We start from the raw sequence: 17,393 nt of genomic DNA on the forward strand, positions 1-17,393 counted from the left end.
GACTCAGCCTCCCGAGTGGCTGGGACTACAGGTGTACATCACCACGCCCAGCTAATTTTTGATATTTTTAGTAGAGATGGGGGGTCGCCTAGGATGGACTCGATCTCTTGACCTCGTGATCTGCCCGCCTCAGCCTCCCAAAGTGCTGGGATTACAGGTGTGAGCCACCACACCCGGCCTCTATCTCTTTATTTTTAAACTGTCATTTAAATTTAGTTTTTGTCTCTTGTGTATAGCATGTAATGCCTTTGATTTTAAAGTTATCTGAGTGTATTTCTCATGGAATATGGGAGGAATATGTTTGTATTTATGATTTCTGGTATGTTTGGCTTTATTGTCTTTTTCTTTATGAAAAATACTTTGATATTTTCTTTTTAAATTAGTCTATATTTTGCTAGTAATTGATTTGTTTTTATCCCTTACATTTTTTACTGATAGGCAAGTCAGAAGCCCATTTCTAGTCCATCAGTTTATATTTAAATATTTAGAAAACATAATTATACCATTTTTCTCCATCAATATCGAGAATAAAACTGGACTTGTATCTGTAGAAGATAAGAAATGCAATCTGCCTTTACTTCTATCTTCTTCCAAACCTTGAATCCTAGTGTAAGAATGCCTAAAATTTAAATCAATACTATTATTGATAATTTTATATTATCTTTACTTTTAGAATCGTTTATTTACATTTTCACCTACATTTTTATGCTACATTAACAGTTGTTATTTAGACTTACTTCTGAGTTTATATTATTTACCATCTTTTCTCTATAAGTCATGTTCCTTATTGCTCTGTTCTTCATTTTGATTCATTGCTCAGCTGACTCAAGCACTTTGAGTAATTATTTTTAGGAAAGGCACATAGAGGCTATGCTTTGAGTTGCTGCATGTTGGAGTGTCTGTCTGTTGCTCTCAAATGTGAACAGTACTTTTCCTGGATATGGATATATTGAGTCATAGTTATTTCCCTGCAAACTCTGCATGTAACTGCTTGAAGCTGCATTTACATAGTACACTTTTTTAACCAAAATAAGTCTCAATTGTATATTTACTTGGTACAGTTTCAGGGGACACTGAAACAGATTGAAGGGGCTAAAGCCACCCAAGCCACTCCTTCATGCCTTCATGATCTATCAGGCTTGGTTCTGTATGGTGATATTGTCAAGTGAATTCAGATTGATGACATTTCCTTGATACCCAGAGATCCAGTAGACTGTGTGGGATCAGAGGTTCTTGTAAAAAGAGAATGGCAACTTCCGGAGAGAATTCGCCTCTTTTGGCCAACTGATCCTCTGTCTACATCAGCCTTAACTTTCTAAGCCTGGGTAGAGGTGGTGGGTCCAGGTGGATGAGGGGAAGATTAGAAGGATTGGGGATTTCCTTTATCTCAGGTTAACCTAACATCATTCATCAAAGGCCAATTTTGCTTTTTTTAACTTTTATTTTAGGTTTCGAGGTACACGTGAAGGTTTGTTACATAGGTAAACATGTGTCAGGGTGGTTTGTTTTACATATTATTTCATCACCCAGGTATTAAGCTCAGTACCCAAATAGTGATCCTTTTTGCTTGTCTCTCTCCTCCTACTCTCCCCGCTTTGGTAGACCCCAGTGTTTGCTTCCCTCTTTGTGTTTTTACATCCTTATCACTTAGCTATACCACTTACAGATGAGAACATTCAGTATTTGATTTTTGCTTTCTGCACTAGTTTGCTAAGGATAATAGCCTCCAGCTCCATCCACGTTCCCACAAAAGACAGGATCTCATTCTTTTTTTCTTTTTTTGAGACGGAGTCTCTCTCTGCTGCCCAGGCTGGAGTGCAGTGGCACAGTCTCGGTTCACTGCAAGTTCTTCCTCCTGGGTTCACGCCATTCTTCCTGCCTCAGCCTCCCGAATAGCTGGGACTACAGGTGCCTGCCACCACGCCCAGCTAATTTTTTTGTATTTTTAGTAGAGACGAGATTTCATCGTGTTAGCTGGGGTGGTCTTGATCTCCTGACCTCATGATCTGCCCGCCTCAGCCTCCGAAAGTGCTGGGATTACAGGCGTGAGCCACCGTGCACGGCCGATCTCATTCTTTTTTATGGCTGCATAGTATTCCATGGTGTATATGTACCACATTTTCTTTATCCAATCTGTCATTGATGGGTATTTGTGTTGATTCCATGTCTCTGCTATTGTAAATAGTGCTGCAGTGAACATTCACATGCATATGCTTTACAGTGGAATGATTTATATTCCTCTGGGTATATACTAGGTAATGGGATTGCTCAGTCAAATAGTAGTTCTACTTTTAGCTCTTCGAGGTGTCGCCATACTGCTTTTTACAATGGTTGAACTAATTCACACTCCCATCAACAGTGTATAAGTGTTCCCTTTTCTCTGCAACCTTGCCAGCACCTGTTATTTTTTGACACTTTAATAATAGCCATTCTGACTATTGTCTGGTGTGAAATGGCATCTCATTGTGGTTTTGATTGGCATTTCTCTAATCTGTGATATTGAGCTTTTTTTTGTATGCTTCTTTGCCACATGTATGTCTTCTTTTGAGAAATGTCTGTTCATGTCGAAGGCCAATTTTGGCAGTGCCCCAGTTCTCCTCAGTGTCTGTCCTCTTTTTTTCTCCAGTCTTAGGCACAGGCTGTGAGCATTGTCTTAGGATTCATGCCTCTTGGGGTGAAATTTGAGTCCTGTGTTGGAGGCTTCAGTATGACAGAAACTTCCTGAAGGCTTCAGTAAGACAAAAAATTGTTCCTCATCAGCTACCTTGTCTTCAGCCATAAGGTAAAATGAGGCATTACTGGGGGCTCCATCAAACAGGTTCTCCTTTCTTGGATTAATGGAAGGAGCCCAGTCTTTCAGGTGTTTCTCCTTTGAAGTGTATCTTACTAAAATGTCTTACCGCTGCAGTTCCTATGCCACCTCAAAGGCAACTCTCACTAATGTGTATCTGTTCACTAGGTGTCTAGTTTGAAAGAGATGACAAGAGCATCATTTACTCCCTATGCTTATCCCTGAAATACCTTATTTTATTGCTGTTGAAACTGAGATCTGGCCAAAGTTTGATGACTTGCCCAGGCTGGCATTAAAATACAGTTCTCTTCTACCCCTCTTTTCTTTTTTCATGCTATATTCCTTGAGTTGATGACCACAAGTTTAAGCTTAGTATTGCCATAAAGTTGGAGTTGGGGCTTTGCATGCAATGGAAATATTACTAAACATCCAAAGTTTACTGTCTTATTCACATATATTCTGGATAGGAAAGTAAAATACTCATGGAGCAGAAAAGATAAAATTTTAATTATTAGTAAAAAGCATTTTGTTATACAACTTCTGAATAATTTTCTTTTAAAATTGTATTTATAAAGGCCTTTGTTTTTTGGTTAAATTTATAAGTTAGAAGAAATCTGATTGATTTTATTTTTGCTTTGTTTTTGCAGCAGCAAGATTAAGAAAATTGTTCATTCAATTGTGTCATCCTTTGCAGTTGGGTATGTGAGACATAGAAAACACCATGTATTAAATATACGTGAGACTTAATGCATAAAAAACACCACGTATTAAATATATCTGAGACTTGGCCAGGTGTGGTAGCTCACGCCTGTAATCCCAGCACTCTGGGAGGCCAAGGCAGGTGGATCACCTGAGGTCAGGAGTTCAAGACCAGCCTGGCTAACACGGTGAAACCCCGTCTCTATTAAAAATAAAAAAATTAGCCAGACATGATGGCGAGTGCCTGCAATGCCAGCTGCTCGGGAGGCCTAGGTGGAAGAATCGCTTGAACCTGGGAGGCGGAGATTGGAGTGAGCTGAGATCACACTATTGCACTGCAGCCCAGGTGACAGAGCGATATATATATATATATCACTCTTTCAATGAGAAAGACTGAAATAAAAAACAAAACCAAAAAGCATTTCCTGTCCATCGGTTTCTAAGTAGCCATGTGCCCCATCTAATGTAATCTAATTTATCATGGAAATTTGGTTTAAGCTGGACTTTAAGACTTGCAAAGAAACGGCTTTTGTATAAGATTAATAGTAACATATTAATATTATTTTTCTTCCATCTGCACAAGTAAAGTTAATGAAAATCGAATGTTAAAATTCTATAATTATAAGTAAAGTGTTTTATTAAGTACCTTATACATCTAGAATTACTCTTTAATTCTGGAAACAATTTACTTAGACTCTTCTCTACGTAAGAGTAAGATTTCATACTATGATATAGATTTACGCAATATGATATAGATTTATGCAATATAATTGTTTCCTTTTGAATTAATGATATTTTAACTTGAGCTGCAACTTTTTGAAAAGTACTTTGAAGATGAATTCATCTTCATAGATTAAGCAAATAGTATAATCAATTTATGGGGAATGTATTTAGAATATGTAACAGCAAGTTTCAGGAGGTACCTTAGAGTTCAATACTATAAATATTTATGGAATTGAATTCTTTCTCATGTACCCATCACTGTACTAGAATCGCCCATAAATATGTAATCATGTACTTGCTGAAAATGTCACTGACAAAAAAAATCTTGGTCTTTTAAGAGCTTATGTTACTCATGCTTTCATTTGGTTTTTATTAATAAATTCTTAAGAATTATCCAGATTAATAAGATTTTATTTTTTATGAGAAATGGGTGTAAACTTCTTATGAAATTCTCAAATTTTAAGAAGAGTTTACAAACAGACACAGGCAATTTTAGTTCAGTTTCACTTTTCTCTCTTGAGGTGTTAGTCTGATGGATCTGCTATAAAAGGGCATGATAACGTCTTGTGAAGTGGTTTGGTGGGAATTTTATTTATTAAGAACTGCTTCTATTGGGTGAAAACAGTGATTTTTCTGAGATTCTATGACATTACAGTTTTTCCTGCCACTGGGCAGTTTAATACTAAATAATAACATTTTGGTACCTGATTATTGGCCTAAATATAGTATAACTATAGGGACAAAAGCCCCTTTATCTTTGCTGTTACTTACTTATTTATTCATTTATTTATTTGTTGTAGAATATTTGGAGTTTTCCTGATCTTGTTGGATGTGGCTCTGATCTTTGCTGACCTAATTTTCACTGATAGCAAAGTTTATATTCCTTTGGAGTATCGTTCTATTTCTCTAGCTATTGCTTTATTTTTTCTCATGGATGTTCTTCTTCGAGTATTTGTAGAAGGGTAAGTTTGATTATTTTTATAATGCATAAAGCTATTTTGTACTTTTCTAAGAAGCACTTTGGGAGGCTGAGGCAGGTGGATCACGAGGTCAGGAGTTCAAGACCAGCCTGGCCAAGATGGTGAAACCCTGTCTCTACTAAAAATACAAAAATTAGCTGGGCATGGTGGCGGAAGCCTGTAATGCCAGCTACTCGGGAGGCTGAGGCAGGAGAATTGTTTGAACCCAGGAGGCAGAGGTTGCAGTGAGCCGAGATTGTGCCATTGCACTTCAGCCTGGGTGACAGGGTGAGACTCCGTCCCAAAAAAAAAGAGGCATATTAGAATAATTAACAGGAGCATTCAACTCAAGCTGACTTAAAAGCCTTTGGGCCTTAGGAGAACCTTGGTGGTAGTCTGGCAGTACCCCCCAGGGTCTGTGTTTGAGTGAGGTGGCCATGGATTGATGCTCCTCTGCTTTTGGAGAGGGGTTGAAAGAGTAGGGAGGATTGCATCTTGTGGTTTGAGTGACAGCTCAACCAGCACAGCCATAGCACATAAAACACCAGGGAGAATTATAAGTTTCTGATCTAGGCCCTGATTCCCAGCACCTTTGGACCCACCCGGAGCCTGGGAGAACTTGCCATCGTGAAGGGAAGGACACAGGCCTGACTGTTTTTACCATGTGATGATCGTAGAGCCCCAGGGCCTTCAGCAAACTTATGCAATAGCTAGGGAGTGGTTACAGCAGGTTTTGGGCAAGACCCAGTGCTGTGCTGGCTTCACGTCTGACCCAATGCAGTCATAGTAGCGGTGGCCACAGGGGTGTTTGTGTCACGGTGGCTCAGAACAGAGAGAGAGACTCTGTTTGTTTGGGAGAAATTAAGGGAAGAGAACAAGACTCTCTTTTTGGTAACCCAGAGAATTATCCTGCATGTTGTCCAAGACCATTAAGGCAGTACCACTATGAGTCTGCAGGAACCACAGAGTTTAGGAGGCTTGGGGTGCCTCCTAAAGCAGATAAAACTTAGATCACAATATCCAAGTTCTTTCCAATATCTGGAAAGCCTTCCCGAGAAAGATAGGTACAAACAAGCCCTGACAGGGAAAACTACAATAAATACCTAATTCTTCAATGCCTAGACACCAAAGAACATCTGCTAGCATCAACACTGTCCGAGAAAACATGACCTCACCAAATGAACTCAATAAGACACCAGAGGCCAATCCTGGGGAAACAGAGATACGTGACCTTTCAGACAAATCAAAATAGCTGTGTTGAGGAAACACAAAGAAATTTAAGATAACACAGATAAAAAAATCATAATTCTATTAGATAAGTTTAACAAAGAGATTGAAATAATTAAAAAGAATCAAGCAGAAATTCTGGAGCCAAAAAATGTAATTGGCATACTGAAGAATGTATTAGAGTCTTTTAATAGCAGAATTGATCAAGCAGAAGAAAGAATTAATGAGCTTGAAGGCAGGCTATTTCAAAATACATAGAGGAGACAAAGGAAAGAATTAGAAACAATGAAGCATGCCTACATGATCTAGAAAATAGCATCAAAAGGGCAAATCTAAGCGATACTGGCCTTAAAGAGGAGGTGCAGAGAGAGAGGGGTTAGAAAGTTTATTCAAAGGGATAGTAACAGAACTTCCCAAACCTATAGAAAGATATCAATATCCAAGTGCAAGAAGGTTACAAAACACCAAGCAGATTTAACTCAAAGAAGACTACCTCAAGGCATTTAAGAATCACACTCCCAAAGATCAAGGATAAAGGATCTTAAAAGCAGCAAGAGAAAAGAAACCAATAATATACAATGGAGTTACAATACAGCTGGCAACAGACTTTTTAATAGAAATGTTTCAGGCCAGGAGAGAGTGATATGACATATTGAAAATGCTGAAGGAAACAAAACATTTACCCTAGAACAATATATTCAGTGAAAATATCCTTCAAAGTGAAGGAGAAAGAAAGATTTTTCCACACAAACAAAAGCTGAGGGATTTCATCAACACCAGACCTGTCCTAGAAGAAATGCTAAAGGGAGTACTTCAATCAGAAAGACAAGGACATTAGTGAGCAATAAGTAACTACCTGAAGGTATAAACCTCACTGGTAATAGTAAATACACAGAAAAATACAGAATGTTATGACACTGTAACTATGGTGTATAAACTACTGTTATTGTAAGTAGAGAGACAACTATGAGCCAATCAAAAACATTGACTATAACAACTTTTCAAGACATAAATGGTATAATAAGATATAAATAGAAATAACAGATAGTTAAAAAGTAGTGAGACTAAGTTGTAGATTTTGTATTAGTTTTCTTATTGTTTGTTTATGCAAACTGTTAGTTTATAAGCTTAAAAATAATGGGTTATAAGATAGTGTTTGCAAGCCTCATGGTAACCTCAAACCAAAAAAAATACAAGGGATACACAAAAAATAAGAAACATGAAACTAAATTATATCACCAGAGAAAATTACCTTCATTAATGGAAGACAGGAAGGAAAGAAGGAAGAGAAGACTACAAAACAACCAGAAAACAATTGACAAAATGGCAGGAGTAAGTCCTTGCTTATCAATGATAACATTGAATGTCATCAGACTAAACTTTTCAATCAAAAGACAGAATGGCTGAATGGATGAAAAAACAAGACCCGGCTGGGCACGGTGGCTCACACCTGTAATCCCAGTACTTTGGGGAGCTGAGGCGGGTGGATCACAGGGTCAAGAGATGGAGACAATCCTGGCCAACATGGTGAAACCCCGTCTCTACTAAAAATAGAAAAATTAGGTGGGCGTAGTGGTGCACACCTGTAGCCCCAGCTACTCAGGAGGCTGAGGCAGGAAAATCTCTTGATCCCAGGAGGCGGAGGTTGCAGTGAGCCGAGATCATGCCACTGCACTCCAGCCTGGTAACAGAGTGAGACTCCACCTCAAAAAAATAAAAATAAAAACAAAACAAAACAAAAAACAAAAGACCCATTGATCTGTTGCCTACAAGAAACACTCTTCTCCCATTAGTCTGAAAATAAAGGAATGGAAAAATATATTCCATTCCAGTAGAAACCAAAAAAGAGCAGGAGTCGCTATCCTTGTATCAGATAAAATAGATTGCAAGACAAAAACGATAAGAAGAGACAAAGAATGTCACTATATCATGATAAAGGGATCAGTTCAGCAAGAGGCTATAACAATTTTAAGTATATATTCATCCAACATATATAGCCAATATATATACTGAGACCCAATGGCTTCCCTGCTGAATTTTACCAAACATTTAAAGAAGAACGAATACCACTCCTGCTTTAACTGTTCCAAAAAGCAGAAGATGAAGGAATACTTCCAAACTCATTCCACAAGGCCAGTATTACCCTGATATCAAAAGCAGACAAAGATGCGTCAAAAAAAGAAACAGGCTGGGAGCAGTGGCTCCCACCTGTAATCGCAGCACTTTGGGAGGCTGAGGCAGGTGGATTACCTGAAGTCAGGAGTTCAAGAGCAGCCTGGCCAATATGGTGAAACCCTGTCTCTACTAAAAATAGAAAAATTAGCTGGGCATGGTAGCAGGTGCCTGTCATCCCACCTACTCTGGAGGCTGGGGCATGAGAATCACTTGAACCTGGGAATGAAAGTTGCAGTGAGCCTAGATCATGCCACTGCACTCCAGCCTGGGTGACAGAGTGAGACTCTGTCTCAAAAAAAAAAAAAAAAAAAGACAACAGGCCAATATATCTGATGAATATTGATGCAAAAATCCTCAACAAGATACTAGAAAACTGAATGTAACAATACATTGGAAGGATCATTCATCATGACAAATGGGATTTATCCCTGGGATGCAAGGATGGTTCAAAATATGCAAATCAACCAAAGTGATACATCATATCAACACAATAAAGGATAAAAGCTGTAAGATCATTTCAGTTAATGCTGAAAAAGTGCTGGATAAAATTCAACGTTTCTTCATGATAAACACTCTAAAAAAACTGGGTAAAGAAGTAACACACCTCAATATAATAAAAACCATATATGACAGATCCCCAGTCAGTATCATACTGAGTGGGGAAAAATGGAAAAGCTTTCCTCTGAGATCTAGAACACAAGTAGGATGCCCACTTTCACCAGTGTTATTCAACATAGTACAGGAAGTCCTAGCTAGAGCAATCACAGAAGATAAAGAAATAAAGGGAATAAAAACAAATCCAAATTGGGAAGGAAGAAGTAAAATTATCCTTGTGTTTGCAGATGATATATTTTATTTGGAAAAAACTAAAGAGTCCACAAAAAAATATTAGAATTGATAAATTCAGTAAAGTTGCAGGATACGAAATCAACATACAAAAATCAGTAGTATTTTTATATGCCAACAGTGGACCATCTGAAAAAGAGTTTTAAAAAGTGATCCTATTTACAATAGCCAGAAATAAAATTAAAAATCTAAGAGGTAACCAAAGAAGTGAAAGATCTTTATAATGAAAACGATAAAACACTGATGAAAGAAATTGAAAAGGACACCACAAAATGGAAAGAGATTCCATGTTCATGGATTGGAAGAATCAATGCTGTTCAAAAGACCATACTATCCAAAGCAATTTACAGATTCAATGCACTCCCTATCAAAATAGCAATGACATTCTTCACAGAAATAGAAAAAAAATCCTAAAATTTATATGGAGCCATAAAACACCCAGAATAGCAGCTATTCTAAGCACAAAGAACAAAGCTGGAGGAATCACATTACCTGACTTTAAATTATACTACAGAACTATAGTAACCAAAACAGCATGGCCCTTGCATAAACAGACACGTAGACCAATGGAAAAGCATAGAGAACCCAGAAACAAATCCACACGCCTACAGAGAACTCATTTTCAACAAATTTGCCAAGAACATACATTGAGGAAAAGGCAGTCCCTTCAACAAATGGTTCTGGGAAAACTGGATATCCACATGCAGAAAAATGCAGCTAGACCCCTACCTCTCACCTTATATAAAAATCCAATCAAAATGGATTACATACTTAAAGATAAGACCTCAAACTATAACAAGAAAACATTGGGAAGAATCTTCAGGACATTGGTCTGAGCAAAAATTTCTTGAGCAATACCCTACAAGTACAGGTAACCAAAGCAAAAATGGACAGATGGGATCACATGAAGTTACAAAGGTTCTTCAAAGCAAAGGAAACAATTAACAAAGTGAAGAGACAGCCCACAGAATGGGAGAAAATATTTGCAAAATACCCATCTGACAAGGGATAAATAACCAGAATATATAAGGAGCTCCAACAACTCTATAGGAAAAAAATCTAATACTATGATTTTTTTAAATGAGCATAAGATTTGAATAGACATTTCTCAAAAGGAAACATACAGATGGTAAACAGGCATGTGAAGAGGTGCTTAACATTGATCATTAGAGAAAACTACAGTGAGATATCATCTCATCCCAGCTAACATGGCTTATATCCAAAAGTCAGGCAATAACAAATGCTGGCAAACATGTGGAGATAAGAGAACCCTCATACACTGTTCGTGGGACTGTAAATTAGTAGAACCGCTATGGGGAACAGTTTGGAGGTTCCTCAAAAAATCTAAAAGCCACCATATGATCCAGAAATCCCACTGCTGGGTATGTACCCACAAGAAAGGAAATCAGTAGATAGAGGAGATACCTGCATTCCCATGTTTGTTGCAGCACTGTTCATGAGAGCCAAGGTTTGGAAGCAACCTGTGTTCATCAACAGATGAATGGATAAAGAAAATATAGTACATATACACAAGAGAGTATTATTTAGCTATAAAAATGAATGAGATCCTGCCTTTTGCAACAACATGGATGGAACTGGAGATCACTATGTTAACTGAAATAAGCCAGGCACGGAAAGACAAACACCACATGTTCTCACTTATTTGTGGGCTCTAAAAGGGTTAACAGTTGAACTCATAGACATGAGTAGAAGGATGGTCATCAGAGGCTGGGAATGGTAGTAGGAGGTTGGGGGTGGGGAGGTGGGGATGGTTAATAGGTACAAAAAAATAGAAAAAAATGAATAACACCTACTATTTGCTAGCACAACAGGGTGACTATAGTCAATAACAATTGTACATTTTAAAATGACTGAAAGTGTAATTGGATTGTTTGTAACACAATGATAAATGCTTGAGGGGATAGATACCTCATCATCTATGATAAGGGTGGTTAATATGCATTTAATTATATGTCTTGCTATACTTAAATTGCCATATTGGTGTTTTAGTCATATATATGTGTCAAATGATGAATATAAATTTATTGTTTGAAAACTTCCCATGAATGTCATATTTTTCCCTTAGTCTACTCTAGAAAATGCATTTTAAATAATGTATGAAAGTAGAATTCTTAATGGGGATCAGTCAATAGTTGTGGTCTTTAAATATTTCTATCTCTTCTTGCAGGGAGATGAACTCATATTTTTCTGTTTTATATTACAGGAGACAGCATTATTTTTCTGATTTACTTAACATTTTAGATACTGCCGTTACTGTGATTATTCTGCTGGTTGATGTCGTTTACATTTTTTTTGACGTTAAGTTTCTTAAGGATATTCCCAGGTATGAAATATAAGACTCACTTCTCTTAAAATTTTTCATTTACTTTTTGCATTTTCTGTGGCTTTTATTCTGTATAATCTTTTCAACTTCAAATGGCTCATTTTATACCAAATATGTTGCTTTAAAATGAAATGTTTAGGTAAATTCCCACATAGGTTGAAACTAAAAGATTGTGATATTTAGGGACCAGTGAAGAGTATACACACCAAGTACCATTCATTGAATAAAAAAGATGGAGTAGCCAAAGAAGGACTTTACTTGTACTAACTTTAACTTCACTACATTTTGAAGTTCTCGTCAAATTCCCATTTGTATCATTTTTGGCCTTTTGGCTAAGATCAAGTGTGACATTCTTATTAGTTTCATATGTGATACATAAAAAAATTTGATATTAAAAACAATTCCCCTCTGTGCTTCAACTACAGATCCCTTACACATAATGTTCTGTCTGGGTTTTTCCCACAGCCAAGAGGGAATTTATTTGAGCATATGCAAAATTTGAGTGACTTTAATCACGATTTTCTTTCTTTTTTTTTTTTTCTAGTTTGGTCTTTTTTTTTAAATTTTTTTTTATTATACTTTAAGTTTTAGCGTACATGTGCACATTGTGCAGGTTAGTTACATATGTATACATGCGCCATGCTGGTGCGCTGCACCCACTAACTCGTCATCTAGCATTAGGTATATCTCCCAGTGCTATCCCTCCCCCCTTCCCCCACCCCACCACAGTCCCCAGAGTGTGATATTCCCCTTCCTGTGTCCATGAATCACGATTTTCTTTTCCTTTTTTTTTTTTTTCTTTTGAGATGGAGTCTCACTGTGTTGCCCAGGCTGGAGTTCAGTGGCATGATCTCGGGCTCACTGCAACTTCTGCCCCACCGGTTAAAGCGATTCTCCTGCCTCGGCCCCCCGAGTAGCTGGGATTACAGGCATGCACCCCCATACCTGGCTAATTTTTGTATTTTTAGTAGAGACGAGTTTCACCATGTTGGTCAGGCTGGTCTCTAACTCCTGACCTCAAGTGATCTGCCCACCTCGGCCTCCCAAAGTACTGGTATTACAAGCATGAGCCACCATGCCCAGCCTCAATCATGATGTTCTAAGAAATAGAAAACAGAACAGAAAACTAGGAGATGACACGTATAGCAACACAACAGTAGAGTTTTGCAGTATAGTTGTGGCAGAAACAAAGAAAGCTAAGGCAAAGTTAGAACTGTTAGGGATTAGGAAACTAAAGGGTGTATGAGGACCTGGTGACTCTCTTTTTGTTCTTCTTTTCTACTGTGACAATGAGGAAAATGGAAGAGCAAACGTATACTGGGATGGAGATGTTTGTGGCTTCCTAAGCTTGTTCATGGGTCAAATACCGGGTTTCTTTCTGTACCCTAGCTTCCCTGGACTACAACTCAGGCACCAACTAAGCATGTTAAGTGATAGGCTTTTGGAGTTGTTTGAAAATCACCTCAGCCAATGTGGTCCTCTGACTAGAAACCTCAGCATCACTTGAGAGCTTGCTAGAAATACAAGAAAAATACCTTAGGCCCCACCCTGGACCCACTGAATCAATATCTCTGGGATCCAACAATCTGTAGCTTAACACGCTTTTCCAGATGACTCTTCTTTAGTCCAGACCATCAGTTATCTGCTTTGATGTTTCTGACGGTAGGAGAGATACCAGCTAGCACACTTGGGAAGTATCTCAATCTGTTGCCTGCCTAATGTGCATTTGCAGCTGTAGTGAACCTCTGTTACAGATGGGAGTAACAGAGGTGAACAAGAATCCTCAATTTGTTTTGATGTGGAAAAATTGAAAATGCTAGTCTCAAATCCCAAAATTAAATTTACAAATTCTAAGACTCTATTGTTTCACTATTTCTCTAGACCAGAATTTTTCAACCTCAGCATTACTAACATTTTGGGCCAGATCATTATTGTCATAGGAGGGTGGTGAGCAGTTATATTCATTGCAGGATGTTTAGCAGAATTCCTGGCTTCTATCCATTAGATGGAAGTAGCGCATGCATGCGCGCACACACAGGCACACCAGTTGTGAAAACCAAAAATGCCTCAAGACACTGCCAAATATCCCCCATGTAGGTGATTGAGGAGAGGAGGGAAAATTGTCCCTGGTTAACAACTGCTGCTCTAAACTTAATTTATATTCATAAAATTGTCTGTTTCTGAAGCAAAAATTGATCTTTTAAGTTTATTTTTAGATGGACACGTTTATTTCGACTTCTACGACTTATCATTCTGATAAGAGTTTTTCGTCTGGCTCATCTAAAAAGACAACTTGGAAAGCTGATAAGAAGGCTGGTAAGTGGGCAAAACATGCTTACGATTCAGAAAAATATTTTGTGTTTTGGGACCCATTGGCAAGGGTTGATATCTATACTGTATAATGTTCTTTATTTTTATGTTGATTTATGTTTCACCAACTAATAATGGTTTTAAACTCTCAGGTTTCAGGAAACAAAAGGTGATACGAAAGGGATGGATTTGACCTAGACCTCACTTATATTACAGGTTTGTGACACTTAACTGTTGATTTACTTACATTAACTTCACTTTTTCTTGTAATTATATTTTTATTTTGTTTTTGCCTCATCTAAGCCACATTCATTCAAAGTATTCTTTATTCGTGAGGCTATATGCTATGCCATTGTGATAGTGTGACATATTTGTGGTTTAGCCCTGGCAAGGAAGATTTCCATGTCATCTCAATTCAGGACTACTCGGTTGCAGCACAAAAACTTGAATGGATTTTCAGCTGACTCCATTTGAGTTTCAGTTTATTAAGTTCTAGTAGTTATCCTGAATCCCAAGGATCCCAGAGAGACCGCTTCTCTTCCTAGAACCCCAGAGAATGAGGTCACAGCTTTGTAGATCTCAGGTGTTCTGAGTCAGAGGGCTATAAAGCACGTTGGGAGTTCCCACCATCACTGGTGCCCAGAACTCTTGGATTTTCTTTGGTATTTAAGATAAGAAATAAATTCCAAGAACAGGGGGAACTTCAGACTGAGGCCAACATAAGTACATGGCATATGGTTTGAACCAGTGGAGTGTTAAGAACACCATGCCAGCTTAATGGTCATTATGTTGGATAATTTAATATGTTATCTTGATTACCCTGAGTATTAGCTCTTTTCTGTCAACCTTAATCTTAAAAGGTATTTTTCTGTGAAAATGGAGTCTGATCATATAAAATTAACTTTTGTATGTTATTTTAAATCTATAATAATGTTTGTAATAGTGATGATTTTGACTTCCAGAACGTATTGTCGCTATGTCATTTCCATCTTCGGGAGGCCAGTCTTTCTATCGGAATCCAATTAAGGTAAGGGTGTTTATCTTAAAAATACTAATTTCTCAGTGAATGTAGACTGTGTAGTCATAAGTTTAATATTGACCCAGAAATGTCAATGTTCTTTCCAAAAGGTACTCTTTCAAGTAAAACAATCATAATGGATTGATACCAGTTATAATTGTACCAGTGGTTACAAACCACCCCCAAACTTACTGGCTTATAACAGCAACTATTTATTTGGCTCATGATACTATGGTTTGTGAATTTGAGATGGGCTTAACTGTTCAATTCTGTGCTCACAGAGAGGATTGCTTCTCTCAACTGAGTTCATTCATGCATCTGTGGGCAGCTACTGAGTCATCTGAGGACTGGCTAGTCTAAAATGACTTGGCTGTCCTCAGCTGACAGAGCCACTGCGTGCTCCATGCACCCCTCAAGGCCCATCCCATCTGGCATCCACTGCTGCCAACAGCTCCACCCCCTTGACCAGCAGAGCTGCCATATGCTGCATGCACTTCTAAGACCCTGAGGACTGGCCTGCCTGGTGCCCACCCTGCTGGTGGCGCCACCCCACCACTAGCAAAGCCACTGCACCTAGCATGCATACCTCTAGGGCCTTGGAACGAATCCGACTGATGGCTCCCACCCCAAGAAAAGCCATACCACTGTCTCCACAAACACTCACCATCTAGGCCACTGAGGCACTCAGAGACACCTCTAAATGCTGATTACAGCCAAAGAAGTCACATGAAGACTGTATTACCGCACCCACCTAGAACCAAAGTCAAATCGCCCTACTCCATAATGAACACTAGGAGACAACTATTGGAAAAAATATTTCTCTATGAAAGCTCCATAACATTGGAAGAGGCACCTGTTCCACCAGATGTGCAAAAATCAATTCAGGGCCACAAGAAACATAAAAAGCAAGGAAACATTACATCCCCAAAGAAACACAATAATCCCCCATTAACAGACCCTAAATTTTAAGAGTATATCAAATGGCTAAGAAGGAATTTGAAATAAGGATCTTGAGGAAACTCTGTGAGATACAAGAGAATACAGATAGACAAATCAATGAAATTAGAAAAACAATTTATCATCTTATGAGAAATTCAACAAAGATATAGATGTCATTAAAAACCAAACAGAGATCTTGGAGCTGAAGAATTTAAGGAATAAAATAAAAAATAATCAAGAGACCAGATGCAGTAGGTCACTCCTGTTATCCCAGCACTTTGGGAGGCCAAGGCAGGTGGATCACTTGAGGCCAGGAGTTCAAGACAAGAGTGATTAACATGGCAAAATCCCATATCTAAAAAAACACAAAATTTAGTCAGGTGTGGTGGTGCATGCCTGCAATCCCAGCTACTTGGGAGGCTGAGGCACGAGAATAGCTTGAACCCAGGAGGTGGAGGTTGCAGTGAGCTGAGATCATGCCACTGCACTCCAACCTGGTTGACAGGGAGGGACCCTGTCTCAAAAAAAAACTATATATATATATATATATATATATATATATGTAATCAAGAGCTTTAAAAACAGACATGGGAGACATATGGGTGAAATCTCAGAAGCTCAAAGGTTCTCATATAGAATCAACTCAAGATGGTCTTCTCTGAGGTGCATGATAGTCACACTTTCAAATGTCAAAAAGAGGGAATATTGGTCAGGTGCGGTGGCTCACACCTGTAATCCCAGGACTTTGGGAGGCTGAGGTGGGTGGATCACAAGGCCAGGAGTTCAAGACCAGCCTGGCCAACATGAAGAAACCCCATCTCTACTAATAATACAAAAAAAACTTAGCTAGGTGTGGTGGCGTGCACCTGTAGTTCTAGCTACTTGGGAGGCTGAATCACGAGATATGCTTAAACCCAGGAGGTGGAGGTTGCAGTGAGCTGAGGGCACACCATTGCACTTCAACCTGGGTAACAGAGTGGGAGTGTCTGAAAAAAAAAAAAAGGAAATATTAAAAACAGCAAGAAAAAAAGCATCAAATCACATGTAAGGGAAACTCCTTTAGGTTAACAGTGGATTTTCCAGTGGAAACTTTACAGGTCAGTAGACAATGGGATGTTACAGTCAAAGTACTGAAAGGAAAAAAATACAAAAAAACTATAAACTAAGAATGCTATACCCAGCAGAGCTATCCTCTAGAAATGAGGGAGAAATAAAATATTTCCCAGACAAGCAAAACCTGAGGGAATTCATCACCAGTAGACTGGCCTTACAAGGAATGCTTAAGGGGGATTCTACAAATGAAAGCAAGAGGATGGCTACCATCATGAAAAACATCAAACTATAAAACTCACTGGTAGAGCA

The 17,393-nt window shown here is 38.4% G+C and overlaps 1 long non-coding RNA gene and 1 pseudogene across 2 annotated transcripts in view; one reads left to right on the forward strand and one right to left on the reverse strand.

The window, feature by feature from the left end:
- LINC00345 (long intergenic non-protein coding RNA 345) overlaps positions 1–17,393 on the reverse strand; it is a 118,126-nt gene that overhangs the window by 35,139 nt on the left and 65,594 nt on the right. The gene's annotated exons all lie outside the window — the stretch shown is intronic.
- TPTE2P3 (TPTE2 pseudogene 3) overlaps positions 1–17,393 on the forward strand; it is a 98,103-nt pseudogene that overhangs the window by 28,628 nt on the left and 52,082 nt on the right. The window contains exons 10-15 of the transcript NR_002793.2: positions 3,439–3,489; positions 5,014–5,175; positions 11,645–11,764; positions 13,981–14,080; positions 14,227–14,290; positions 15,037–15,101. The product of NR_002793.2 is annotated as a TPTE2 pseudogene 3 (transcript). The remainder of the gene's footprint in view (positions 1–3,438; positions 3,490–5,013; positions 5,176–11,644; positions 11,765–13,980; positions 14,081–14,226; positions 14,291–15,036; positions 15,102–17,393) is intronic.

Source organism: Homo sapiens, chromosome 13 (assembly GCF_000001405.40).
Source record: "Homo sapiens chromosome 13, GRCh38.p14 Primary Assembly".
Taxonomy (NCBI): Eukaryota; Metazoa; Chordata; class Mammalia; order Primates; family Hominidae; genus Homo; species Homo sapiens.